The sequence below is a fragment of the Homo sapiens genome, chromosome 18 (genome assembly GCF_000001405.40).
Source record: "Homo sapiens chromosome 18, GRCh38.p14 Primary Assembly".
Taxonomy (NCBI): Eukaryota; Metazoa; Chordata; class Mammalia; order Primates; family Hominidae; genus Homo; species Homo sapiens.
In genome coordinates, this window is record NC_000018.10 from 9,055,014 (window position 1) to 9,081,482 (window position 26,469).

General features: G+C 44.0%; 1 long non-coding RNA gene across 1 annotated transcript, besides 2 other annotated features; it reads right to left on the reverse strand.

Moving 5' to 3' along the window:
- Window positions 457–566: a silencer, noted in NCBI's record as "silent region_9276". NCBI's record gives its function as "represses an Ori minimal core promoter by ATAC-STARR-seq in GM12878 lymphoblastoid cells {active_cell/tissue: GM12878}" and the evidence as "EXISTENCE:reporter gene assay evidence [ECO:0000049][PMID:35858748]".
- On the reverse strand, window positions 6,418–10,778 carry LOC124904243 (uncharacterized). The gene is made up of 2 exons (XR_007066278.1): window positions 10,325–10,778; window positions 6,418–7,745 (listed from the first exon to the last, which is right to left on the reverse strand). It is a non-coding gene; the product is annotated as an uncharacterized LOC124904243 (long non-coding RNA).
- Window positions 11,639–11,858: an enhancer, noted in NCBI's record as "active region_13066". NCBI's record gives its function as "activates an Ori minimal core promoter by ATAC-STARR-seq in GM12878 lymphoblastoid cells {active_cell/tissue: GM12878}" and the evidence as "EXISTENCE:reporter gene assay evidence [ECO:0000049][PMID:35858748]".

Sequence of the window (26,469 nt, forward strand, 5' to 3'; positions counted from 1 at the left end):
ATGACCAGAAAATAAACTATCACTATTGCTGCATTTTGCTTTTGTCCAATATTCTCTTGGCATGTATGGACATGAACTACCATTCAGTGAAACTGACATGTTCTCTCTCCTTTGAGAAGGATCATGGAGGTTTCTGGTGCCATCGTTTTAAATGTTCCAAATAGAAGCAAACATCTACTGTTAGAAAAGTAAACCAAGTGAAGAAAAGAAAAGAAAATGACTTGCATTCTTTTGCATAGATATGGCTATATCAAGTAATTAGGGTTGTACTAAAGAGGTTGGGAATATATTTTATTTATTTGCTTATGTGACTTTTACTCATTATTTTCATTTTGTGGTGAGTAAAGGGAAAAATGTAGTAAGAACAAAATGACCTTTCCATTTTGTCCTAAAACCAAACAGGAAGAGGGAGTACTGCCATCTTTTGGTTACACAATATAATAATTTTAAATCGTTACACTTAACAACAGCCAGATGAATGCCAATATTAGTCATCACCAAATGAACAGAAACACTGACTTACCTGGCATGAGTTAGTTCCTTAGACTATTTCTTCATAATAGCTTTCTTCTGCAAAGTAATCACAGAGACTCCAAAATCTCATTTTTCTTTCAATTGTAGACAGAAAGAGAAAGTACTGGTGGGCTAAGTAGATTATCTTAAAGAGCACTGACAGTTCTAATATTTGTATTTAATGATTCTAAAGCATTCAGAGTAAACAAAGATAAAAGAGAACTTTTAATTACTAAAGTCAATTTCACAATTGCCCCAGGGGTGAAGAACTTGAGTGCAAGGCTGAACTTCCTTAGACCAAGGAAACACTATGGCAAAGCCTGCCAGGTATCCACTACAGGGCTTCATCTACACCAAGCAAGACAAAAAGTACAGCAAAAACACAATTGGAGCATTCCTGGAATGTTCTTTCTTTTTCTTTTCTTTTTTTTTTTTTTTTTCTTGTGAGAACAGAGTCTTGCTGTGTCACCTAGACTGGAGTGCGGTGGCACAATCTCAGCTCACTGCAACCTCCCCTTCCTGGGATCAAGCAATTCTCCTGCCTCAGCCTCCTGAGTAGCTGGGTGTACAGTCACCCGCCACCACGCCCGGCTAATTTTCGTATTTTTGGTAGAGATAGGGTTTTGCCATGTTGGCCAGGCTGGTCTCGAACTCCTGACCTCAGGTCATCTGCCCGCCTCGGCCTCTCAAAGTGCTGGGATTACAGGCGTGAGCCTCTGCGCCCGGCTGATTTTTTTTTAAGGAAATATGGTACTACAATAGAAGGAAACTAAAGAAGTTTATCAGAGTGTACTATAGAGGGCCGCCTCTCAGTGAGCTGAGTTGGCTGCAGGGAGGCCATAGACACTGTTGTTACAAGACACGTTTTATTAACAGCCATCCTGAAGAAAAGACTTTGAATAGGTTGAGGGTATATATTTTAAAGAGGAAACATTAATTTGAAAAGGAGAAGAATCTGGAAAGGAAATATAATCCCCTCAAATCCTGTCTAGATCCAGAGAAGCAGCTATCCAAATGAGGTTTTTTTAAGGCTCATCAGGGTGGCAGAAAATAGAATATAAAGCCCCGAAGGGGATCTTAAGATATTTGGAATAAAAGGGAAATATGGAAGTGTCATGGCAGTTGAGTGAAAGGAAGTGAACTGAACTTGACATTTATTTGGATAATATCACTTTTCTATATGCGCAGTACTGATATGTTTTTAAAAATAAAAGCACGAAATTTTTGTTATTTGTTATTCTTATTAAGAAGATAAATAAGTAAACATTTTCATAGGGTACCAGAGAGGAGAGCGGGCGAAGGGAGGACCTGGTTTCTAGTCGTAGGTCTCCACTGACTAGCAGGCTGCCCTTATGCCACTTAGACTCCCTGAGTCTTGGTTTCCTCATCTACAAAGTAAGTTCGCTGGATGCCACCATAGCTTCTCAAGCTGAGTTCTGAGGACTCCTCCCCATCTATGAATTATTTTCAGAAGCTGATAGGTTCTCTGCTTTGAGAAGTATCAGACTCAGTCATTTCTAATGGCTTTGCTAGCTCGAAAATTCTAAGATATAAGATATATTTTTCTTCTCTAATTCCCTCAGGACCCAGAAGAGGAAGAAAAGTCAGCATACTTATTTTTTTCTTGTTTTCCTTCTCCCTGACATGCAATTATTCTATTGTTCTGAATTTCTAGAGCAGTGCTTTCCCACAGAAATACATTTAACTTAAAATTTTCCAGGCCAGGCGCAGTGGCTCATGCCTGTAACCCCAGCACTTTGGGAGGCCAGGGCAGGGGGATCACTCGAGGTCAGGAGTTCAAGACCAGCCTGGCCAACATGGCGAAACCCTGTCTCCACTAAAAATACAAAACTTAGCCAGCCGTGAGGGTGAGCATCTGTAGTCCCAGCTACTCAGGAAGCCAAGGCAGGAGAATCGCTCAAATCCAGGAGGTGGAGGTTGCAATGAACTGAGATTGTGCCACTGCACTCCTGGGCAACAGAGTGAGACTGTCCCCCCAAAAAAATAAAAAATTATAGTAGCCACAGTTTTAAAAGCAAAAAGACATGGGTGAAGCTCATTTTAATTATATATTTTATTTAGCCAAATATATCCAAAATATTCTGATTTCAACATGTAATCAATGTAAAAATTAATGAGATGGTTTATATATATTTTTTGTACTAAGTCTTAGAAATCCAAAATGTATTTTACATTTACAACACATTCCAATTCAAAGTAGCCATATTTCAGGTTCCATAGTCACATTATAGCACCAGACCCATCTGATTCATCTTTTATGTAACAAAGTTGTGGGTTGTTTTTCAGTTGCCCTGGACCCTTGGGTCACGTGACCTGGGCATGCCCAGATGAACCAAGAATCACAGGGGGAACCTAAGTGCTCAGGCTGAGGGCAGGGGACTGGATTAAGAAGTGGACACCACATGGCAGGATCCAGGATCCAATCAGATCTAGCTGTGGCGTCACCCCATGGCAGGATCCAGGATCCAATCAAATCTAGCTGTGGCGTTACCCCATGGCAGGATCCAGGATCCAATCAGATCTAGCTGTGGCGTCACCCCATGGCAGGATCCAGTGAGATCATGCCTCATTACCCTTTGCTTATAAAAACTAGATCCAGCTCCCAGTCCCGGGAGGTACTGCTTTGGGACCAGGTGTTCTTATCTGTTGCAAGTAAGAAAATCCCCTTGTTAACAATCCTCTTTGGTTCTGGTCATTGGACTGTCATTCACCAAGCTACCAAACCCACCCATTGTATGGGAAACAACACATGGCTGATGTGGGAAGTTCCTATGTCCTGTAGTGGACAGCACAGTGACAACCCTATAGTTGGAGAGCTGATACGTGGCTGTTCGGGTACCCTGAAAAATAGGCCTGTTTGGTTACCCAGTATCACAACCTAGGGATGGTCTGGAATGCATAGAAAAAGCTCAGGACCTAGAGGAAACATTTCTCTACTCAAAAACCTGCAGTGTACATGCCTCCTTCTCAGACCATCAGTCCCTCCCTTCCAGAACACATGATAATCGGTATTTCTTTCTTTCTTTTTTTTTTCCAGCCCTAATGCTGCTTCTCAGCAACAAAGCTGGAAGTGTTTTTCTCAACAGACCATTCCCCGGAGAAGAATGTAATTATATCTCTGTCTTTGGACTCAGGCAGATAATGATTACCCACAAAAATCCCTGCTGTAGAAACAATGAATTTGTACTAGTGCTCTTCGTTTTTTAAATGATGCGGAAACTTCCATTAATTCACCAACCCTATTGCAGGAGCCTGATTCAGAGACTGTCTGCAATTAATGCATTTTTTGTTGTAAGACATGAGAGCAGAAGAGGATAGAAATAATGAGAATCTAATTTGGAAGTCAGTGATGTAGACTTCAGTTTGAGATATCATGTTTGTCCTTTTATAGAAATGCTTGGAACAGTGAGTAAGAGGAGTAATAAGAAATTTTGCACATTAAAATAAGACAGGCTATTTTGTATGGGGGAAGATAAAGATTTTTAAAAATTCAGCCAATACACTCTGTGAAATAAGAGTATTATATATGTATAGAAGTACAGAGCTTCCTACTTCTTATCAAAATGGCTTCTGGCATCTTTCAATTTCATCATCTTTCCATTTTCTTATCTTTTCCTATTGGGGATGGCAGTGTAGTTCAAAGGGATAAAAAATATTGGAATTAAGTATTTCCTACTTTCTTTTTGAGACAGGTTCTTGCTCTGTTACCCAGGCTGGAGTACAGTGGCATGATCAGGGCTTACTGCAGCCTCAACCTCCTGTCTCAAGCAATCCTCCCACTTCAGCCTCTCAAGGAGCTGGGACCACAGGCGTGCACCACCATGCCAGGCCAGGCTAATTTTTTTTTTTTTCCGCAGATGGGATCTTACTTTGTTGCCCAGGTCTCAAACTCCCAGGCGTAAGTGATCTTCTCACCTCAGCATCCCAAAGTGCTGGGATTACAGGCATGAGCCACAGGGACCCTTCTACTTTCTTAAGGGGGCAAGGGAAAGACAGAGTATGTCTATCAACATCAGGTACTTATGTAACATTTGTCACAGTGTGTCAAACTAACCCTCTCCTCATCCCTCTAGGAACAGACTTGGCAAGCCAGAGGGCTGAAGAAGCTAGAGGGGCCACAGGATAAACCACTGATGAAATCACTGGTGGGAAAATGAGATTTCCCTGTATCTCACTCAAGCCTATTGCTGCAGTATTGATTAATCCGTGTGCTTTTTGTGTCAATGGTTCCAGACAAGCGCCATCATGCACTCTCTCCCTTTTTCATCATTGATATCAACTCAAAAAAGATGGGCTCCAATAGAAGGAAGAAGGATTACACCGCATATAGTATAAACAATAAATTTGGGGCCAGGTGTGGTGGCTCACACCTGTAATCCCAGCACTTTGGGAGGCCGAGGCGAGCAGATTGCTTGAGCTGAGGAGTTCGAGACCAGCCTGACCAAGACAGTGAAACCCTATCTCTGCTAAAAATACAAAAATTAGCCAGGTGTGATGGCACGTGCCTGTGATCTCAGCTACTCGGGAGGCTGAGGCAGGAGAATCCCTTGAACCTGGGAGGCAGAAGTTGCAGTGAGCCGAGATTGCACCACTGCACTCCAGCCTGGGCAACAGAGCAAGACTCTGTCTCAAAATAATAATAATAATGATAATGATAATAATAATAAATTTGCAGATCTTCAGGTATTTAGCACGTTTCTAAATTAGAACTGTCCTTTTTTTTTTCTTTTTTTGAGACGGAGTCTTGCTCAGCCACCCAGGCTGGAGTGCAGTGGTGCGATCTCCGCTCACTGCAAGCTCCGCCTCCCGGGTTCGCGCCATTCTCCTGCCTCAGCCTGCTGAGTAGCTGGGACCACAGGCACCCACCACCAAGCCCGGCTAATTTGTGAGTGTGTGTGTGTGTGTGTGTGTGTGTGTGTGTGTGTGTGTGTGTGTGTTTTTAGTAGATACAGGGTTTCACGGTTTTAGCCAGGATGGTCTCGATCTCCTGACCTCGTGATCCACCCGCCTCGGCCTCCCAAAGTGCTGGGATTACAGGCCTGAGCCACCGCGCCCAGCCAGTACTGTCCATTTTTAAAAGGTGATGCTTACTGAAATGATATCTCCTTCTGGTGTTCCCATAGACAATAAATAAACTCTTCTAGGCCTTGTACTTCCCCCAGCACTTCCATAGGCATCTGCTGGATGGTCCCTCACTGGGCATCAGCACCACACAGAAGGGAGGTGGTCTCCATAGTAATTAATGTGAATGAGGAGAGTCAGCACACCAGTGGTCTAGCCAGGCTAAAATTTCTTAAAAGGAAATGGCGAACTGATTTTCTTTGTAAAAATTCAGGCCCTGCTCTTTTTCTTTCTTTCTTTCTTTCTTTTTTTTTTTTTTTTTTTTTTTTTTGTGGCCTGGCCAACTGTCCCTCCCTAGGCAAAAGTGGACTTGGATTTCTTTTGTTTCAGCAATCATTATCTGCTACCTTTACTCTAAAAATGCACTTTCCACCTGTCCCCATCTTCTACTTAAGCCTAAGGGATTACAAAAGGACTCATGTTTACCACTATATGTTGAATCAAGGAGTATCAACAAATTGGAAATTAGCCTAATCCCTTAAACTTCATATAATCTGTTTCCTTCATTTTGCTCCCATCTCCAAATATTTCATTCAGTACCAAAGTCCCCAAGAGAAAATGGATTCCTTCCTAGCTGGACCTGGGGCATCTGGCCAGATCCCCATCATGTTTCACCCCAAGCTACCCCTTAATCCCAGATGGAGCTTTAGACTCCTTTGAGAGAGATGAGGCCTGTCAAGAACTGTAAAAGCTCTGGAACTTTCTCCAACTTACACTGTTAACTGTTTCATTGATGCTGGCAGAAGACATAAGACTCTTGGGTCAGAGACAAAGGATTTTATTACTAACAGCACAGCACAGCAAACAACATGAGCATATTTGCACTAGTTCCCTTCCCCATACACAACACAGGGATGACATGATAGTCCTAGATGATACCTGCGCATGCAGTGGGTTGCATTACAGGAGAGGAACCCAGGGCTAAGGGCCCAGCCCTTGAGCAAGCAGCAAATAAGCCAGTCTTTCTCCACTTTGACCTGCTTAATTGCCTGTGTGACTAACCAGAGAAACCATTCAGTATCAGGAGACAGATCAGTCTTAAAATCCAGTACACTCGGCTGGACGCAGTGGCTCACACCTGTAATGCCAGCACTTTGGGAGGCCAACGAGGGCGGATCACCTGAGGTCAGGGTTTCAAAACTAGCCTGGCCAACATGTCTCCACTAAAAATACAAAAATTAGTCAGGCGTGGTGGTGGATGCCTGTAATCCCAGCTACTCGGGAGGCTGAGGCAAGAGAATAGCTTGAACCCAGAAAACGGAGGTTGCAGTGAGTTGAGATCACGCCACTGCACTCCAGCCTGAGCGACAGAGTGAGTGAGACTCCGTCTCAAAAAAAAAAAAAAAAAAAAATCCAGCACACTCAGCAAGAACAGGCAGGGACCTTCAGGGTCCATGGTGGGCTGCCTTTCCCAATAGGACCCACATACTTCTCATTATTCTGATCTTTCCTTCAGAATTACCTAGTCCAAGGGAGTACAACACTGAGAGCTAGTGGCCCTGGCTAGCTGTTAAAGACTGCGAGAAAAGTACTACTAGTTGCTGAAGGAAAACGGATTGTGGGATGTAAATTTGTCTCCTTATATTTAAACAAAAACACTCAAAACCCTCTTCCCCAACCCTTCTACTGTTTCAGTTCCTACTGGTCTGTTCTGTAAGTTCTCAGTTCCTGTTAGATTGTAATACTGAAAAAGAAACCCTGTCTACCCTCTAAGTTGGATGGAGAATTCAACATAAATAAGAAAGATATATCTACTAAGCAACTGAAACTTAATATGTCCAAAACCAAACTTCTGGACTTCTTCACACACCATGCTGTCTTCTCCCATACCTTCCCCTCCATAGAGAAGGTAACCATCATCCTTCCAGGCGCTCCTGCCAGCAGTCTCGGAATCAGGCTTGATTCCTCTTTTTCTCTCCCATTTCATGGCTTGCTCAACCTCCCAGGCTATCCAGAACCTGAGTGGCTCCCTTCCTCCATGATGAAGCCACCATCACTTCTTGCCTGGATTGTTGCAGTAGCCTCCAAACTGTTTTTCTGCTTCAGTCTTTACTTTCTCACACCATTCTCAATTCAGCAGCCACAGGGTCCTTTCCAAATGGAAAACCACATCATATCTCTTCCTACTCAAAACCTCCCATTGACTCCTAACTCATTCAGAATAGAAGGCCAGCCAGGTGTGGTGGTGAACACTTGTAGTCCCAGCTACTCAAGAGGCTGAGGGGAGGACAGCTTTAGCCAAAGAAAGAAGAAGGAGGAGGAGGAGGAGGAGGAGGAAGAAGAGAAGAAAGCTAACTCCTTGTAGTGACGTGCAAGGTCCTACATCTCTTTGATCTGATTACTGTCCTCTCACGGCCTCCCCATGCCCCACCCCCCAATACCTGGAACACAAATGCCCATGCCTGGCCCTTGGCATATGCACAACCCCTCCCTCCGCCCGGATGCCCCCTCCACCAGCTGTCCACGGGGCTTATTCCTGCTGCTTCTTCAGGGCTCCCCTACCCCAGCATTCCCCATTGCTTTATTTGTTTGTTTGTTTTGAGACAGAGTCTCACTCTGTCGCCCAGGCTGGAGTACAATGATGCAATCTTGGCTCACTACAACCTCCACCTCCCGGGTTCAAGCGATTCTCCCACCTCAGGCTTCTTAGTAGCTGGGATTACAAGCGCCCACCACCGTGCCTGGCTAATTTTTGTATTTTTAGTAGAGATGGGGTTTCGCCATGTTGCCCAGGCTGGTCTCGAACTCCTGAGCTCAAGTAATCTTCCCACCTAGGCCTCCCAAAGTGCTGGGATTACAGGCGTGAGCCACCATGCCCAGCCCCCTGTGTTATTTTTATCCATAGCACTTATCACTATCTGAGGTAGTGAAGATGTCTATTTCCTTGTTATGATCTGTTTCCTCTGACTACAATAAAAACTCCATGAAGTCAGGGATTCTATTTGCCACTGTGCTCCAAACCCCAATGCCTAAAAGCTGTCTGTCATACACTAGGTATCTAATAAATTGTTGTTGAATTCATTAATTCTACTCATATTTATCATTTACTTTTTTCAATTGCAGTTCAAGGGGGAGAGAGAGACAAATCAACAGGTACTTATAATACAGTGGGTAAGTGCTGTATTTGGAGAAGTATAGGGCATTACAGAGTAACAAAGGAGAACCAGATGCGAATAAAGAAATAAGGAAATATAAGTGCCCTCAGAGAAGTCGTCTGACATCCTGCATGCTCCAATTTGGCATACCCAGCATCCTATCTGACCTGGGGAGTTCTGGTGCTTTTGTTTTAATTTGTGATTATAAATGTGTCAGATGTGTCAGTCATTGCCTTCCTAGGCAAATGCAAAATCACAAAACATTTTCTTATCAAAAATAATAGCCTCGGGCCAGGCGCTGTGGCTCACACCTGTAATCCCAGCACTTTGGGAGGCCGAGATGGGCAGATAACCTGAGGTCGGCAGCTCAAGACTAGCCTGGCAAACATGGTGAAACCCTGTCTCTACTGAAAACACAAAAATTAGCCAGGCGTAGTGGCGGGTGCCTGTAACTCCAGCTATTCGGAAGGCTGAGACAGGAGAATTCCTTGAACCCGGGAGGCAGAGGTTGCTGTGAGCTGAGATTGTGCCACTGCACTCCAGCCTCTGACAGTAAAACTCTGTATCCTAAATAAATAAGTAAATAAAATAAAATTGTAAAAAAAGTTATAGCCTGGGACTCAACAAAAACAACGTTCCTATGGGAACACAGTTTTGTCTTTTTTTGTTTAAACAGTTGTTGTTGTTGTTGTTGTTTTTGAGACAGGGTCTTGCTCTGTTGCCCAGGCTGGAGTGCAGTGGCACAACCACAGCTCACTGTAGTCTCAACCTCCTGGGCTCAAGCGATCCTCCCACCTCAGTTTCCTGAGTAGCTGGGATCACAGGCACGCCACCACACCTGACTAATTTTCTGTATTTTTTTTTCTAGGGATTCGGTTTTGCCATGTTGCCCAGGCAGGTATCAAACTCCTGAACTCAAACAATCCACCTTCTTCGGCCTCCCAAAGTGCTGGGATTATAGGCTGTTTTATACTTTTTAGGTGATTAAGTATCTTTAAATATTTACCGAACAATTTATTTTAATTATTCTAAATTTTCTTCTAATTATTATGAATGTAGATACATGTTTCACAAAATTACAATTATACTCACATAAAATCTATACAGGCGGTGGCTCGCGCCTGTAATCCCAGCACCTTGGGAGCCCAAGGTGGGTGGATCACCTGAGGTCAGGAGTTCGAGACCAGCCTGAACAACATGATGAAACGCTGTCTCTACTAAAAAGACAAAATTAGCCAGGTGTGGTGGCACACGCCTATAATCCCAGCACTTTTGGGAGGCTGAGGTGGGTAGATCTCCTGAGGTCAGGAGTTTGGGACCAGCCTGGCTAACATGGTGAAGCCCTGTCTCTACTAAAAATACAAAAATTAGCCAGTCATGGTGGTGGGTGCCTGTAATCCTACCTACTCAGGAGGCTGACACAGGAGAATCGCTTGAACCTGGGAGGTGGAGGTTGCAGTGAGCTGAGATCATGCCATGGCACTCCAGCCTGGGCAACAAGAGTGAAACTCCCTAAAGAAAAAAAAAAAAAAAAAAGCTATAGCTTTTCATGGAATATCTGCATTTGCACATACCTCTCCTCTGCATGACATTCTTCTTTCATTCACCCAGTTGTTTTCTGCTCTTTCTGGTGCCTTCTTTTTCTTTAAGCAACATTTATTCAAAGAAGTCATCACCATGGAGGCTTTTCCTATATGCTCAGGGCTACAAAATCAGCTTTTCACATCATTTTCCCCTTGGTATCTTCCTCCTCCTCCTCCTTCCTCCTTTTGTCTTCTATTCCTAGAAGTCTGTGGCTTTTCATAGTTTGGGGATTTTGTTGTTGTTGTTTTGACAGAAGAATTAAGGTCACACATGTATTTAATGCCCTGAGCCAAGTAGTGTCTTTTCCCAAAGGCCACAGAGCTTTGCCTAGGTGCCTCTGCACCGTCATCACGCTCTCATTGACCTTCCTTTCTCTTCCTCCAGGTCCAGGGGAAGTAAAAATCCCAAATCAAAAATCCCCTTAAAGCTTTATTAAAATGAGAGCTAGAAAGAAAAAAAAGATTAAAATAAATAAATGAATAAATAAAGTAAGAGCTAACAGCTAATATTTATGACGTGCTCACCATGTGCTGAGCATTCTACATAAATTCTGTCACTCCCACTTCACAGTACCTCCACGAAGTAGGTACAAATGCAAAAATCTCAGCCTCAGTGAGGGTAAGTGACTTGTCTGAGGTGCTCTGAGTACTGAATGATGGAACATTCATGTGTACCTAAACAGTCTGACCATGCAGCCATGCTCCAGCCACAGTGCAACGTGCAACACTGGTCGGGGGAGCTAACAAGGAGTTAACAAGGCAGTGAGTAACACTGCAGCTGTTACAAGAACCACTAGAAATCGTGGATTTGCAGAATATCAACAATATTTTGTCCTTGTCTTGAAGGAAAGGTACTAGGGCTAGGATTACTTTTTTTTTTTTTTTTTTTGAGACAAGGTATCGCTCTATCTCCCAAGCTCACTGGCTCACTGCAGCCTTGAACTCCTGGGCTCAAGCAACCCTCCCGCCTCGGCCTCCCTAAGTGTTGGGATTATGAGCATAAGCCATGGCGCCTGGCCTACGGTTACTTTTAGAATGTCTTCTTTCAGGATTCTCTAGGTTTTACTCTAGGATTTGGCTGGAATAGAATGCTGGTAAAGCTACCTAAGGTTTAGGCCCCCAGGTGATTCCCGGTAGTGAGATTCTTAGCAACTTTCAGAACCCACATCCGTGCTTGCTCCCTTTTTACTACATCAGCCGCTGACTCAGGACCAAGCTTTATTTGGTCTCAGCAGCCACCTGAGAACAGCAGTTGCTCAGAATTCTGCCCTGGTTGCTGGGGTTTCTACCTAAGGCCCTACCCTGTCTGGTCCCAAAGGTTCCTCTTCTTGGATTCAAGCTAACCTTGGCCTGCATTGATTTGGATGTTACCTTTTCCCTATACCAGCTCCACCCTGGAAGTTTCTTTGGCTCAGACTCCTAGAAAACCAGAAGCTGCCCTTGCCTTTGCCTTCTGTCCTTCTCAGTTTGTCCAAAATATTCCTCACCAAGCCATATAGGCTGGCTTGACCTTAAATGAATTTCAGCCCCTCTTCACTATGCTGTTCAGTTGGCACCTGGCCTGTTCTCAGTGGGGCCTGGTGACCGCGATGGCAGGTGCCTCTCTTGGGGAACCCAACCGCCTTTCATGGGATCTTCCAACCCAACTGTTACTTCCTATTTGAAAGCTTTAGACCCAAGTAGGTCCACTACAAACTCTGTTTCCAGCCAGGGGGACTTTTCTAATTCTCAGTTCATTTGCACAACAGAAATGACACCAAACCCAGTGGGTGTTCATGTCCCTCCCAGATCAGGTGACCAGCTCTGCAACCCCACTCTCTTCCCCTGGTTCTTTCTGATGATTCACCTATGAGTTACACACCTTCCCCTGTGCTAGGGCTGTCCTCTAGCCTAGACCCTACCGAGATATTCTGACAGTGTTGAGCCGTGCTTTTCACATTTCAGTCTTTCATTTATAGTGGTCACAATTTTTGTCATAGATAAATAAGTATCATCCGTACTATTAGTTATTTAATGTATTTTTCTTTAAATCACTTAGTTTTTAACTTTAAACCCAATATTCTTCAGTGTTGCCCTAAATAATATTACCTTCAAGATCAGTGGTTGGATATGCTAGTTATATATTTACTTTTTTTTTTATTTTTTGTTTAGTTTTTTATTTTATTTGAATCATCCACCTCAAAATGTCACTAGTTATATATTTTCTTTTCTTTCTTTCTTTCCTTTTTTTTTTTTTTTTTTTGAGACAGAGTCTCACTCTGTTGCCTAGGCTGGAGTGCAAACCTCCGCCTCCTGGGTTCAAGTGATTCTTGTGCCTCAGTCTCCCAAGTAGCTGGGATTACAGGCGTGCACCACCACACATGGATAATTTTTGTATTTTTGGTAGAGACGAGGTTTCACCATGTTGGCCAGGCTGGTCTTGGAACTCCAGACCTCAGGTGATCTGCCCACCTTGGCCTCCCAAAGTGCTGGGATTACAGGTGTGAGCCACCTTACCCGGCCTAGTTATATATTTTCAAACACACATTAACTAAACAAATAATTATAAGCACTGAGTCCATCAATGTCAATATGACACAGCTTTTTTTCCAGGAAACACTCGCCCAGGAAAATAAGACTGTAAGCCAATATGTAACTTGGCAATTTGCTTCAGAAAATTCCTGCAAATCAATGTATTTGGGCAGGCAGTTTGCTTACCTGGGCAAAGAGCTCGTTTATTAGACAAGTTTACTCCTAAGGACCTTTGCCTCACATGCCTTCCAATCCTGAACGATTATGTCAGAAACTGAGCCCAACCCAACCCCAATCTGTTCTCATGGTTTTGCCGCCTTGCCCAGACCGGTCTCAAACTCCTCAACTCAAGCAATCCACCTGCCTCGGCCTCCCAAAGTGCTGGGATTACAGGTGTGAGCCACCACGCATGACCTGACATTTTATTTCTTTTTTAAATTTATTTTATTTTCATCTTTTTTCATTTTTTGTTCTGAAATTTCATATGTTCAACTGTTTACCACCTAAAATCATCTCATCCATTAGGAGTGGTAGGCACAGCAGCCTTTGATGAAACATTTCCCCTAAAAACACAATAAGAAAGTTCCTCTTCCAGCTCTCCACTGTCTCTCCCACGCCTTGCCTTTCTCCTCCAGTCTCTTATGTCCCTCCTCCTCCCACACCTTTACCATCAATGCCTTTTGCACCTGAGGTCTGCCTGCCTTCTATGACTCAGAAGGACATAAACTAAGGGAGAAGGTGATTTCCAGCAGATGAGCAGACAGTATTCCAGTGAGACTCATAAAGTGGTAAGCAACCTCTGTGCTTTGAAAACATTGTTAACTTAAAATGGAATACTAGACCATCATGGAGCTCATCGTGACACTGGCCACTGTGAAGCCAAATTTCAAGTACGGAAAGTCACCCAATACAGTGCAATGTCACTGCAATTTACACGATGTGATATGAGAGTCTGTACCAAGAAGGCTCCTCTGCCCCAAATTTCTTGCCTTTCATCCATTTGCCCCACAACTCACGGGTGTTAAAGGGCATAACATTTTAACTATAACTTAAGGGAAACTAACTTTTTTTGTTTTGTTTTGTTTTGTTTTGAGATGGAGTTTTGTTCTTGTTGCCCAGGCTGGAGTACGGTGGCACTATCTCAGCCCACTGCAACCTCCGCCTCCCGGGTTCAAGCTATTATCCTGATTCAGCCTCCTGAGTAGCTGAGATTACAGGCGTGTGCCACCACACCTGGCTATTTTTTGTATTTTTAGTAGAGACAGGGTTTCACCATGTTAGCTAGGTTGGTCCCAAACTCCTGACCTCAGGAGATCTACCCACCTCAGCCTCCCAAAGTGCTGGGATTACAGGCGTGAGCCACCACACCCGGCCAACTTCAACTTTTTAACTTTAACTTGAGCACCACTTTTCTGGTCCTTCGAAGGCAAAAAAATCTGAGGAGATATGAGTATAGCAACCTTTGGGACCGGCACGGTGACTTGTGCCTATAATCCTAGCGCTTTGTGAGGCCGAGGCGGAGGGATGGCTTGAGGCAGGAGTTCGAGGCTGTAGTGAACTATGATCACACCACAGCACTCTAGCCTGAGGGACAGAGCAAGACCTTCCCTAAAAAAAATAAATAAAATAATTTAAAAATTTTTTAAACTCAACCATTGGTATTTATGGATCACTTATAGTAGGTAGGATGTTTTCAAGGTCTCCACTACAGTGCCTGTGTGCTTTGATTCTTAAAGAACGCTGTGAATGGTAGGTATTATTTTCCAGTTTACAAATGAATTAACCCAGGCTTCAAAAGGTTTGATGATTTGCCTGAGGCCACACAGCTGGTAAGGGGCAGGCCATGGTTGCCTCACCAAGTCCCTGCCCCTAATGTTACTGGAAGTGGATCCATAACATAAAAACAGCCTCTGGTGTTTCTGTAGCCCTCGTTGGTCTTATAGACTGCTCGTTCATTTTCTCATTTCCTCACGGGACACCCCCTTGAGGAGGCAAGCTGGGGGTATTTTTAGCAATGGTTTGTCAGTTCCACTTCCTCTGGGATAAGCTGCAGCAGGTGGGCGAAGGAAGGAGGAAGCAGAGAGGGACGACTGAGGAGAGAGACCGCGTGGAAGGGAAGGCCGTCACTCCTCTCCAGGCCCGTCCCACTCACGCAGAACACTGTCCTGATATTTGGGCAGCAGGAGGGTGCCCTGCTTCGAGAAGGAAAATTACCAGGGACCCGTGTGCTCTGTGAAATATGTAAGGCTCTACACAAGGAAGGAAAGCAGTTCCACTGAGATTGGTAATAAATAACATAGTTGTAAACAGAGTAAGAGAATAGAGTTAAGGGTCTCGCCAGACTGCCCCAAAAACAAAAAAAGTCCTTGTTGGGGTTCAGGCTCAGCTGTAGGCTTTAAATTGTTTAGGGATATTTACAGTTCTAAGATATAGAAATCTAGGGCAATGAAGGCTCCTGCAACTATTTAAATGGTATCTGTGAATTAGTGATTTATATTATTTCTTTCTGTTTGTTTTTTTTTGAGACAGGATCTCACTCTGTGGCCCAGGCCGGAGTGCAGTGGTGCAATCATCAGTCACTGCAGCCTTGACGTCCCACCTCAGCCTCCTGAGTAGCTGGGACTACAGGCGTGAGCCACTGTGCCCGGCTAATTTTTATTTTTTGTAGAGACAGCGTCTCCCTATGTTGTGCAGGCTGGTGTCAAACTCCTGGGCTCAAGTGATTCTCCCACCTCAGCCTCCCAAAGTGCTGAGATGACAGGCATGAGCCGTGGCACCTGGCAACTCGTGCTATTTCTAATAGCTACTTATGTTGAGCACCTACCATGAGGTGGGCACATCACCTATTGGCTTCTCATTTTCAGATTAGGATGCTGAAGCTCAGCTAGCAAGTTTCTGCATTGAAATTCAAAACTAGGATTGTCTTGCTTGAATGGCTTTGCGTCATCATGATGGAACTTCCAGAGATCAGTCATATGTTACCCCAGCATCAAAGAGAAAAGAATAGACTGGACTGGCGAGCATAGAGTTCCCATTTATGTGCCTCAAATTCCATCCCATTTACTACCTTGGGCATTTTAACAGCCTTTTAAAGAAATATGGGCAGGCGCGGTGGCTCACACCTGTAATCCCAGCACTTTGGGAGGCCACGGTGGGTGGATCACCTGAGGTCGGGAGTTCAAGTCCAGCCTGACCAACATGGAGAAACCCCGTCTCTACTAAAAATACAAAAATTAGCCAGGTGTGGTTATGCATGCCTGTAATCCCAGCTACTCAGGAGGCTGAGGCAGGAGAATTGCTTGAACCTGGGAGGCGGAGGTTGCAGTGAGCTGAGATCACACCATTGCACTCCAGCCTGGGCAACAAGAGCAAAACTCCATCTCAAAAAAAAAAAAGAAAGGAAAGAAATATTTAGAAACTGGCCAGGCATGGTGGCTCGCTGTAATCCCAGCACTTTGGGAGGCCGAGGCGGGTGGATCACCCGAGGTCAGGAGTTCGAGACCAGCCTGACCAACACTCAAAATACAAAAATTAGCCAGGCGTGGTGGCGGGCACCTGTAGTCCCAGCTACTCAGGAGGTTGAGGCAGGAGAATCACTTAAACCTGGGAGGCAGAAGCTTCAGTGAACTGAGATAGTGCCACTGCACTCCAGCCTGGGTGAGAGAGCAGTACTCTGTCTCAAAAAAAAAAAAAAAAAAGGAAATATATATATATGATATATTCTATATCTAGAATATATATATAGAATATATCATTCTATATATAAAAACCTGTTTATATACAAGAAAACCTAATTCATTTGAAATACAAGGAGGATTTTAGCTTTAGTTTGATTTTTTAGAACAATAGAACAGAAGCTTCTAAACATTTTTGAACTTGACCTACAGAAAGAAAAGCCCTTTACATCATGCCTCAGTATACACAAATACACATGTGTGCAACAGAAGTTTCACAGAGCAACACTTACTCTACCTGTGAGAAGCACTCTGACATTTTGTTCTATTTTATTTTATTTTATTTATTTTTGAGACGGAGTCTCACTCTGTCACCCAGCTGGAGTGCAGTGGTGCAATCTTGTCTCACTGCAGCCTCCGCCTCCTAGGTTCAAGTGATCCTCCCACCTCAACCTCCCTAGTAGCTGAATTACAGACATGCACTACCACACCCAGCTAATTTTTGTATTTTTAGTAGAGACAGGGTTTCAGCAAGTTGGCCAGGTTGGTCTCGAACTGCTGATTTCAAGTGATCCACCCACCTTAGCCTCTCAAAGTGCTGGGATTACAGGCATGAGCCACCATGCCCAGCCCCTTCTGACATTTTAGATTCTAGTCTAATCTTTCTCTTTTTTTATTTTTGTTCATAGTCTTCCTTAATTATCTTTAAAAAAAAAAAAGTGGTAAAAACGTAACATGAGCTCCATCCTCTTCACAGGTTAAGTGTACAATACAATGTTGTAAACTATAGGCACAATGTTGCACAGCAGATCTCTAGAACTTATTCATCTTTAATAACTGAAATTGTATCCCCTTGAACAACTCCCCATTCCCCCTTCCCCAGCCTTCCCCAGTAGCAATCACCATTGTACTCCTGGCTTCCATGAGTTTGACTATTTTAGATATCTCCGGTAAGTGGGACCATACAGTGGAAAACAGTAAAGAGGTTCTTCAAATCATTTTTTATTTAATTAATTAATTAATTTATTTGTTGAGACACGGTCTCACTCAGTCACCCAGGCTGGAGTGCCATGGTGTGATCTGGGCTCACTGCACCCTCCATCTCCCAAGTTCAAGCGATTCTCCTGCCTCAGCCTCCCAAGGAGCTGGGATTCCAGGCATACACCACCACGCCCAGCTAATTTTTCTATTTTTACTAGAGACAGGGTTTCGACATGTTGGCCAGGCTGGTCTCGAACCCCTGACCTCAGGTGGTCCACCCGCCTCGGCCTCCCAAAGTGATGGGATTACAGGTGTGAGCCATCACGCCTGGCCTCTTCAAATCATTTCAAATAGATCTGGCCGGGTGTGGTGACTCACACCTGTAATCCCAGCACTTCGGGAGGCCGAGGCGGGCGGATCACCTGAGGTCAAGAGTTTGAGACCAGCCTGGCCAACATGGCAAAACCCTGTCTCTACTGAAAATACAAAAATTAGGCTGGGCTCAGTGGCCCACGCCTGTAATCCCAACACTTTGGGAGGCCAAGGTGGGCGGATCACGAGGTCAGGAGATCGAGACCAGCCTGGCCAACATGCTGAAACCCCGTCTCTACTGCAAATACAAAAATTAGCCAGGTGTGGTGGTGCGTGCCTGTAGTCTCAGCTACTCAGGAGGCTGAGACAGGATAATCACTTGAACTCAGGAAGCGGAGTTTGCAGTGAGCCGAGATCGAGCCACTGCACTCCAGCCTGAGTGACAGAGCAAGACTGCGTCTCAAATAAATAAATAAACAAATAAAATAGATCTTTCCTTTTTTTGATGCTGCTCATATTGATATCAGGATCCACTAATACGTTGTTTCTACAACAATGGAACCTGAAGCCTGGGTCTAGCATTGTTTTGCCTGAAATGACACAGTATAGTAATTAAAGGTTCAAAAGTAAATAGGAAAGACAGAGAAGGAGAAAAAGAGAAATTTAAAAACTTAATTACTGACGGCTACTCAGTGGAAATATTACCACCTTTATGCATTTTTAATTCTTGAAGAGATGCCATTTATAAATGCTGCTTATTTTTTCCTACAGGCTGATCGAAGATGATGAAATGCCACATTCGCTTCAGTAAACAGACATCTCAAAGTCCAAAGGAAACAAACTCAAAGGTTAGTTCATTTGTGTCTCAAATAATATTCATCAGCTGGTTTGCTAACTAGGGCAAGTCTCTCTGAAGCAAATGCACGAAGGAACGCGGGTATCATTATCCACTAGGTGGCAATATAGAACAGGAGTAGCCTTAGCCTTAGCCTGTTTACTGACACGTGGGTGGTGTGAACCGCAAAAGAATTTCGAAATCCAGGACTCCCCAGTAATTCACATGGATTCAGACTGAAAGTTTACTCAGCGCTCCTGGCATGTTTCTGCCCTTTCTTGGAACAGCCCTGAATTTCAGCTTCATTCTTGCTGACGGGCTGGTATTTAAAATTAGTAATATCCCTGGCTACTTCCTTGTGGCAATGTAGATGAACTGTTGCTGTGTAAAGTCAGAGCCATAGTGTTGCCTGTATTTATTAATGATCTACAAGGTAAGCATATGCCGTGAAGGTTTTATCTCTCGCCCCCTACCATCTAACAGCTTAAAAATACTGAGTTCCTCACATCATTCCCATTACTAACGATTTTCATATTTCTTTTATTTTTATTTTTATTTTTATTTTGAGACAGAGTCTCACTCTGTCGCCCAAGCTGGAGTGCAGTGGCACGATCTTGGCTCACTGCAACCTCTGCCTCCCGGGTTCAAGTGATCCTCCTTCCTCAGCCTCCCAAGTAGCTGGGACTACAGGCACGTGCCACCACACCCAGCTAATTTTTGTATTTTTAGTAGAGATGGGATTTCACCATGTTGGCCAGGATGGTCTCAATCTCTTGACCTCGTGATCTGCCCGCTTCGGCCTCCCAAAGTGCTGGGATTACAGGCGTGAGCCACCATGCCCAGCCCAATTTCTATATTTCTCAGTTGCTCTGCAAATTGTAAAGTCACTGGACATATTTGATTAACATTTTGGTTCTTGTTGTTCAACTGAAAAGGATGGTCTTCTCAAGTACATATTGGCAAGACATTTTCCCTGCAAGAACTAATAGTTGATAAGTTAGAAATGTATCATAAACAAAAATGTACATTTTATGCAATGTGATCATATTCTTTTGAAATAACCACATGTATGAGAGATTAAAATCCCCACAGGTAACGCTTGTTCATAAAATTTCTTTATATTAACTTAGAAGTTTTACTTATTTTATAATATTTTTTGAAGTAGCTAAAGAGAAGACATTTATAAATGATTTTCTCTTGCTAATTTATGACATTTTTATATCATCTGAATCTTTATGAATACATATTACTTTTACAAACAGAAAAATAAAAGTGTTTTGTTATAGAATAATACATAACTATGAGAGAAAAACATGAATTTTAGTATGGCACAACCTAGAAAGTTATTACTAATGAGTCACATAATTTAAGTGCTAAGTTCATCTTGACCATGAATTGCTGATTTTGGAAATATTTTTGAATTTAGGTCACTTCTACCTATTCTTATCTATAATTAAGCATTCTTCTCAAAGTAGAAAGATCAAGTTGCTCATTATTCTTACTGTGAATACAATTAGTAAGACACCTAATAGTAGCACTTTCAGTTGTTAAAAACAGCAAAACCAGTATATCTAATATTTTTTGTTATTCTTTACACCACACAGTAACTCACATCCATGTGGTGGTTCACAGGTTTATAGCATAAGAAGCATTCTCACTTACCTCTGCACCTTTCGTATTCCTAATAGATGTATGAAATGGGTGGGGCATCTATAGAGACTCTAAGATACAAACTTCTCCATGTAAGACCATACATCTACGCAGTCACAGAGCCGGGGAAGAACTAATCATTGATTCCGACTCAAGCTATTTGCCTTTCATTTCTGTGGGCCTGAAGCCTGTACCCATGAATGCTCCATACATGTTGATGAGGAAGAGGATGCCTTTTTACCAGGCATTCAATGTACTAGATGCTCTTTGTTGCTTTTTCTTCATCTGCACGTGGGGAATGAGCTGGAGGGCGTGAAGAGGAGCACAGAAGGACAAGAGTAACCCAGAACAGACTGTGAGCACCCGTAATGCTCTCACTCCCAATGTGGAATGGGTTCTTCATAACAGCTCTGGGAGCATGGCAATATAGGTCTTATTCATGCTGAATCTTTTTTTTTTTTTTTTTTTTTTTTTTGAGACTGGCTTTCACTCTGTTGCCCAGGCTAGAGTGCAGTTGCACAATCATGTTTCACTGCAGCCTGGACCTCCAAGGCTCAAGCAAGCCTCTCACCTCAGCCTCCCAGGTAGCACCACCACGCCCAGCTAATTTTTGTGTATTTTTTGTAGAGACTGGGTTTCACCATATTGCCCAAGCTGGTCTCGAACTCCTGGGCTCAAGTGATCTGCCCGCCTCAGCCTCCCAAAGTGCTGGGATTATAGGTTTGAGCCTCTGCTTCCAGCCCATGCTAAATCCTAATGCCATATTCATTTATCACATTGTCCATTACCTTTCAAATTCTATGACAGCATAGCCATGTGTTCATTCAATTGTGAAGTATTTGTTGAGCATCTTCTAAGCACCAGGGACTATGTTCGATGCTGAGTCCAAAGTTGAGAGCAGCAGACAGGCTCCCTGCCTACGTGGAGTTTGGAGTCTAGCAGGAGAGAGACATTACATAAAAAAGCACAAAGACACATAATTACTAATTCTACGGGGAAACAAAAGAAGAGGCTTTATGAGAGACACTAGCAGGAAAGAGACATAATTAGGATGGAGGAGGGGTGTGTCAGGAAGTTTTTCTCAAAAAGTATCATTTAGGCTCGTCTCGTGGCTTACACCTATAATCTCAGCACTTTGGGAGGCTGAGGCAGGTGGATTGCCTGAGGTCAGCAGTTTGAAGCCAGCCTGGCCAACATGGTGAAACCCCATCTCTACTAAAAATACAAAAATTAGCCAGGCGTAGTGGTGCACGCCTGTAATCCCAGCTACTTGGGAGGCTGAAGCAGGAGAATCTCTTGAACCCGGGAGGCGGAGGTTGCAGTGAGCCGAGATGACGCCACTGCGACAGCCTGGGTGACAGAGTGAGATTTCATCTAAAAATAATAATAATAAAAATATTATTTAAGCTGAGACCAAATGATGAGTAGGGATTTACAAGGAAAGATTTCAGGAACGGTTTCAAGAACAGGAACTCCTCTATACCAAGGCCCTGAGGTAGGAAAATGCTTAGTTTGTTGGAAGAATTGAAAGAAAGCTCATGTGGGCAGAGCAGACGATGCAAAGGAGTGTGTGGCCAGAGACCAGGCAAGAGAGGCCTTGCTCCCCATCTTAAGTACTCTGTGGTTATCCTAAGATCAGTGGCAAGCCATTGCTGAGTTATAAGTAGGGAAGAGACATAATCAGACCTATTTTTTTAAAAGATGGCATTGGCAGTTTCTATTGGGTTAGAATGGAGTGGGAGTCCGCGTGGGAAATCAGTGCAGAGGCCCCTGCCATGCTCTAGGGACAGATGGTGGTGACGGCACTAGGGCAGTGGCTGAGGCGGTGACAGGAAAGGGAAACATCTAGACTTGGTGTTGGATGGGGTGAGGGGAGTGAGGGAGAAGGACATGCCTCCAAGGTGTGGCTTGATAAAGAGCGCGTGGGTTTGTCACTCATGAAGATGCAGAACAGGAGGGGAACAGCTTTGGTGACTGGGGAGGTGGCATCATCAGGAGCTTAGACGTAGACTTATTAGGGGCAAGCCGCCTAGGAGACATTCAAGTGGAGATGTCAGGGAGGCACTTGAATGTAAGAGTGTTGTTGAAAAGAGAGCCTTATGCTGGAGCTGATTGCTTTGGGAGGTGGTACTAAAATTCATGAAAACTGATGAGACCATCTCGGGAAAAAGAGTACAATGAAAAGAAAGGAAGACCCAGAACCAAGCCCAGAGAAACTTCTACTCTTAAAAATAGATAAAGGCTGCTGGCACCATGGTCATACCTGTAATCCCAGCACTTTGGGAGGCCAAGGTGGGAAGATCGCTTGAGCCCAGGAGTTCAAGATTAGCCTGGGCAACATGGTGAAACCTTATCTCTACTAAAAATACAAAAATTAGCCAAGCATCATGGCACACACATGTAGCCCCAGCTACTCGAGAGGCTGATGTGGGAGGATCACCTGAGCCAGGGGAGGACGAGGCTGCAGTGAGCTGTGATCACGCCACTGCACTTCAGCCTGGGCAACAAAGTGAGACCCTATCTGACAAAAAAAAAAAAAAAAAAAAAAAAAGGCAAAGGAGAAGGAAGTAGTTAAAGAGCTGGGGCAGGACCTACCGGAGAGGTAGGAGAAGAACCAGGAGAGTGTGGTGTCTAACGAGTCAAGAGAAGAGAAAGTTCCATAAGGGGGAAGTGGCCAGCAGTGCCCAATGTAGCTGGGACCACTACTCATGAGTAAAGCATGCAAAGCACTCAACAGCAGTTCAAAGAGGAGAGCACTGCACATGAGAAAGGAAAAGATACCTTTATAGAAATTTCAACCGTGAGTAGCTGGTTTATTTTCAAGAGGACCTTTTACCCACATTTTGTGGCAGCCAGATAAGTAGGAACTATCAGTACCATTTTTATTTTCCTAATATTTATTTATTTATTATTTATTTTGAGACAGAGTCTCGCTCTGTTGCCCAGGTTGGAGTGCAGTGGTGCCATCTTGGCTCACTGCAACTTCCGCCTCCCAGTTTCAAGCAATTCCCCTGACTCGGCCTCCCGAGAAGCTGGGATTACAGGTATGTGCCACCAAACCTGGCTAATTTTGTATTTTTAGTAAAGATGGGGTTTCTCCATGTTGGTCAGGCTGGTCTTGAACTCCCGACCTCAGGTGATCCACCCGCTGTGGCCTCCCAAAATGCTGGGATTACAGGCATGAGCCACTGCACCCGGCCGCCCAGCTGGTTTTTTTTGTATTTTTAGTAGAGACGGGGTTTCACCATGTTAGTCAGGCTGGTCTCCAACTCCTGACCTCAGGCAATCCACCCGCTTCGGCTTCCCAAAGTGCTGAGATTACAGGCATGAGCCACCACACCCAGCCTATTTTCCTAATATTTAATTAGGAAATTTTTCAAACATAAAAGTTGAATGCATTACACAATAAGCACCCAGGTGTCTATCACCTGGATTCCACAAGCAATGTTTTATTATACCTGCTTGATCACGTTTCTATCCATCTAACCATCCCTCTCACCGTCCATCAATCCATCTTAATTTTTGGATGCATTTCAAAGTTAGTTTTAAACATAATATTTCACAATGAAACACTTCAGCATCCATATAATTAACTAGAATTCAATATCTGTTTATGGTTCTTTTTCTTTTTCTTTTAGGAGATGTGGTCTCACTATGTTGCCCAGGCTGGACTTGAACTACTCCCCAAGCAATCCTCCTGTCTCAGGCTCAGTAGCTGGAACTACAGGCACTGCCACTGCCCTCAGCTGATAGTTCTTTTTCCTTTAGGGTAAAATTTAAAAAGAGCAAACTGCACAAATCTTAACTGTGCCGTTTGATGCTCTTTCTTTTTTTTTTTTTTTTTTTTTTTTTTTTTTGAGACAGAGTCTCACTCTGTCATCAGGCTGGAGTGCAGTGGTGTGATCTCAGCTCACTGCAACCTCCTCCTCCCGGGTTCAAGCAATTCTTCTGCCTCAGCCTCCTGAGTAGCTGGGACTACAGGCGCGCGCCACCACGCTAGGCTAATTTTTGTATTTTCAGTAGAGATGGGGTTTCACCATATAGGCCAGGATGGTCTCGATTACTTGACCTCATAATCTGCCTGCCTCAGCCTCCCAAAGTGCTGGGATTATAGGTGTGAGCCACCATGTCCGGCCCTTTCTTTCTTTCTACAGGCAGGGTCTCACCCTGTCACCCAGGCATAGTGGTGCCTCATGGTTCACTGCAGCCTTGACCTCCTAGGCTCAAGTGATCCTCCTACCTCAGCATCCCAAGTAGCTGGGACTACTGGCACATGCCACCACGCCCAGCTAATTTTTTTATTTTTTGTAGAAACAGATTCTCCCTATGTTGCCCAAGCTGGTCTCAAACTCCTGGGCTGAAGTGATCCTCCCACCTCCGCCTACTAAAGCTAGGATTTCAGGGGTGAGCCACTGCACCCTGCCTGATGCTTTTTGACAAATGCGTATCTTGCACGTGTCCTATTAAGTTATAGAATATTACATCGACCCAGAGTTTGTCACTGCTGCTTTATCTTTCAGAAAGTGCAGAGAGCGTAAGGAAAGAGCTCTGGTCCCGGGCTCACGGTAAGAACACAGCCAGTGTTCATTCCCTTCTCCCTTCTGCAAGGGGACTCTACCACCACTCACACAGATTCACCCACATTTTCACCAAGATAGAAATAGACATTGAACTCCTCCTAAAAGTGCTTTTGTAAACGTTTCACAATAAACCCTTTGTAGAGGACAATGGTGTCCAGTGAACCAAGCCCAGCCTAGGAAATCATAATTCCTCACTCAGAATCCTGCTCTGGGCATGCTGAGCAAGCTTATGTTAAAGTTCTCTTACTTGTAAAACAGGAACAATAACCATCTGCATCAGAGAAGTGTAACAATTACCCTGGCATTTTCATGTATTAACTAAAATAGCCCCAGAGAAAAAGGTGAAAAGATTTCAATACCAGGTTATGAACATTTTTACCAACCTGCCACATTGTCACAGTTTAACCCTTTGGTGCCCTAACCTGGCCATGCTACTGAGGAAAGGCCTGTTGGGCACCAGTTTGAATCAGGGACGTTCTGTGTGGAGTGCTGGGCCTGCTCAGATTTGGCACTGGAATCAGGACTGTGGTTGCTTGTGATGTCTTCCCAGGTCAAATATCCATCGCTAACAACCCCTGAAAGAGGATGTGGGCTTTGTTTATTTGTTCATTTTATTGCTTTTGTTTGTTTTGTAACTCTGGGCTTTAAGAAGATAGTATTAGAAACTTATCGGTTGGAAGGAAGAGAGGGTTTCCAAATTACTTGCCCTAAATCTGGATTTAAGGAACTCTGAGACATAAATTGAGATAAGAGCAACCTTTTTTTTTTTTTTGAGACAAAGTCTCGCTCTGTCCCCCAGCCTGCAGTGTGATGGCATGATCTCAGCTCACTGCAACCTCCGCCTCCTGGGTTCAAGCGATTCTCCAGTCTCAGCCTCCCGAGTAGCTGGGATTACAGGCGCCTGCCACCACGCCTGGCTAATTTTTGTATTTTTAGTAGAGACGGGGTTTCACCATGTTGACCAGGCTGGTCTCGAACTCCTGCCCTCAGGTGATCCACACGCCTCGGCCTCCCAAAGTGCTGGGATTACAGGTGTGAGCCACTGTGCCCGGCCGATAAGAGTACCTTTTAAGATTTAATTAAAATTTGCTTGAGGCTTCTTCCCAAGCTCTGTGAGGGGTCTAATTATTTCCCTGGGTTTATGTTAATTCCTGAGGTTTTGCAGACACATGTTCACTTCCAGTTCCACAATCCTGCTCTTGCTGAATGCACGCCTCTCTTGGTGTCTACTTCTGCTGTTGTCATCCTTTTCTGCTCTGGGACAATCTCGTTCTGGAACTCAACCTCTTTTCTTTGATTTATCCCAAACCACTTTCCCAAGGCAAAGGCTTGTACAATCCCATATCTGTATCTTTAATTTTTCTCCCCTCTCCTCTCTTTTTTTTTAATTAATTTTTTTAATTTAATTTTTTTTTTGAGACCAGTTTCTGGAAGTTACACTCTTTGACCCAGGCTGGAGTGCAGTGGTGCGAGCTAGGCTCACTGCAGCCTCCACCTCCTGGGTTCAAGCAATTCTCCTGCCTCAGTCTCCTGAGTAGCTGGGATTACAGGCATGTGCCACCATGCCCAGCTAATTTTTTAAATATTTTTAGT